This window comes from Homo sapiens, chromosome 9, assembly GCF_000001405.40.
Source record: "Homo sapiens chromosome 9, GRCh38.p14 Primary Assembly".
In the NCBI taxonomy this organism is placed as follows: Eukaryota; Metazoa; Chordata; class Mammalia; order Primates; family Hominidae; genus Homo; species Homo sapiens.
In genome coordinates, this window is record NC_000009.12 from 103,126,411 (window position 1) to 103,129,384 (window position 2,974).

At 42.1% G+C, this 2,974-nt stretch overlaps 1 long non-coding RNA gene across 1 annotated transcript; it reads right to left on the bottom strand.

Moving 5' to 3' along the window:
- Positions 1-330: 330 nt before the first annotated feature.
- LOC105376191 (uncharacterized) lies at positions 331-2,769 on the bottom strand. The gene is made up of 3 exons (XR_930192.1): positions 2,467-2,769; positions 1,053-2,154; positions 331-476 (listed from the first exon to the last, which is right to left on the bottom strand). It is a non-coding gene; the product is annotated as an uncharacterized LOC105376191 (long non-coding RNA).
- Between the last annotated feature and the right edge of the window lie 205 nt (positions 2,770-2,974).

Consider the following 2,974-nt stretch of genomic DNA (forward strand, 5'->3'; position numbering starts at 1 on the left):
TTAAAATTGACATACAATGAATGTGATGTATTTAACAGTTGTAGTTTGATGAGGTTTGATATATCCATAAACCTGTGAAACCATTACCACAAACAACATATTCATCACCTATCAAATTTCCATTTGCTGTTTTGCAATCTGTTCCCCTTCTTTCTACCCCATCAAAAATTCTCTGATATCTACTGATCTGCTTTCTCACTAGGGATTATTCTGCATTTTCCAGATTTTCCCCAAACTAGAATCAGGCAGTATATAATAGGTTTGACTAAATAATCTTACTCAGCACAATTATTTTGAGTTTTATTCATACTGTTTTATGTACCACTAGTTTATTCCTTGGTGTGACTGAGTCGCATTTCATTGAATTAATATGTTGCAGGACTTTCTCTTTAGTTCAGCTAAAAACCTGGTTCTTGTCACACCACCAGGAAAGATGAGGCTCACAGACACTTTGAAGCGTGAGGGGGTTACAGAATCTAATGGGCAAAAAGGTAAAAGGAAAAACAACACAGCAAAGTGAGAGCGGTTCCTGTTAACAGTCCCCCACCTCACAGATTGAATCCCAGGTTACTTCACAGGGTCAGGAGAGGCCAGGCTCCTCCCCTCTGCAAATGGTGTGAACTTCCCTAGGCTCCACCCCATCCTCCCACTGTGTGGGCCAGTTGAAGATTCTGCAGGGAGCCCTTTTTATTGGATGTCTCATTTCCTCCCCTGAAGAAGTACATCCAACTGCCATTAGAATAACGTTAAAGACAAGGCTAAAGATTGATCTTAACTGCTTCCTGCTGACAGGGGGTGCTGTTTTGGGGAAAACGGCAGATCTCCCTCAGAGGCCTATCTACAGGTTCTCAGCAGAAGAGAACATCTTCTGAGGCTCCAGTTACATGACAATTTTGAGTCTGATGGCTTGAAGGTGAGATTATTAGAAAATATGTATCAGAATGAAAGAAGGACAGGGGTAGGGTAAGAAGAGCTCAAAAATCCCAAGGCTTTTTACTAGTTTGCACAGGGAGAGGGGGGCTTTAGACCCAACTTGTAAAAAAAACCTTTACCCTTTTGCTGGTATGTTGGGCTTCTGGGTTCCCTTCCCCTGAGCCCAATCCTAAGCCAACCAGTTTAAAGTTTGGGAAATTAATTCTTCTCATTTTGGATGATGCATCTGAGAGGAGTGTCTTATAGTATGGAAACACAATTACCTGTCAGTGAAGAGGAGATAGAAGAGAAGAAAGGAAAAAAGAAGGAATTTTTTTTTCAAAGGAGTCCAGGGGTTCAGGATGCATTCAAAAGGGGTCCAGACTGGAGATGAATACTCATTTAGAAAGAAGGGAACAGGCATCCTGGTTCCTTTCTCTTGCTAGCAAATACCTAAGGCACATGAGGGAAGGAAAGTCAGGCATTCCTTCTTCTTTCCTCTCACCTAGTATCCCCACTCTGGGCAACTGCAACAGGGTGCCCATGGGTGTCAAAGCAGCTTTCACCCATGTTAACAGGAGGGCCTGGGTGTGGGAGTATCCACTCTTACCCACGTATGCCCTATCTTCCCTGCAGTCAGTAGCCTTGAATTACCTAGACCTCTTTTATGCCAAGGATACTAGCATGACCTTTATTCATGAAACCATGAAACAGAAAGCTTGGCTTAATGAGCAGGAAACAGCCATACTCACCAGCACTGTGCCTTTTAACTTTCATTATAGTTGGCCTCTGGATCCCCGAGATCCAGTTTTCTTTAGTAGGGCTATGACCTGAAGCTTAAAATTGAGTTTGGGACAAAAATGTGTCTCAGATGGGGGTTGCATGGACTACTTAGCATAAGCCAAATGTTAAGGTGAAGCTGAGGAATTTAGTCCTCCTCCAACAAGGGAGAGAAAAGAATGTCTTGTGACATGCCAGCCCAGATAACTTGTAGCTATAGTTATGTTTGCTAAGATTTGGATGCATGGTGCTTGGGCTTTGGTTAGTTCCCTTGGTCTTACTTTCCCAAAAAGGAAACCTCCATGTAGACACCCTACTTATTCCCTTTATCTGGCAGGATTTGCGTGATAATTGCTCAGAACTAGAATATTGACCCAGATTTCTACATTATCCATCTCTTTTGTTCTTTCTGAGCTGCAGCCAGAGATTGCTGGTTCCTTCACAGGAATAAGTAGGATTCATCTAAAAATGTAAACAAAAATATAAAAACAACTAATGAATTTAGAATTTAATGACAAATGTATAAGTTTTGAAATATAATTTCTGTCTCTCCAGTCCTCATTTTTGTTAAAAAACAAATAATGATAGGACTGAGTTGTTTTCAAAATAGACTTTAGTCTTATACTTGGCCTGATTATTTATGAAAAGTCCAGCAAGAATAACTATCTCTACATAGGCCTTTTAGATTGACTTTGTCAGAACTCTGTTCCACAAGGAATCTCAGATACGACCTTTTAAAGCCAAGCCCAGCCATGCATTTTTATTTTTAAATACCTGTGAGTTCAGTGATCCTCTCCTCTTAAGTTTCCAAGATAAGCTTGGAGCTCTTGGGCCTGTTAGAAAGTGACATTTTTTACTGACCACAGGTCAGAAACTCTGCACAGGGACTGTGTAGATAAGTGTATGAGACCAGTTTCCCCAAGGGGCTTTATATCAGCTCTGCAAGTTGAGCTTGACTCCTTAAAGGGAAGCATACCCTTCCAGTCAAAGACTTGGTAAAACAACAAGTTTCTCCAATTGTGGCCTGTTGCAAAAGAAAACGGATTCTTACGACTGGACGCGGTGGCTCACTCCTGTAATCCCAGTACTTTGGGAGGCCGAGGCGGGTGGATCACAAGGTCAGGAGATCGAAACCATCATGGCTAACATAGTGAAACCCCGTCTCTACTAAAAATACAAAAAATTAGCCGGGCGTGGTGGCAGGCACCTGTAGTTCCAGCTACTCAGGAGGCTGAGGCAGGAAAATGATGTGAACCCAGGAGGTGGAGCTTGCAGTGAGCTG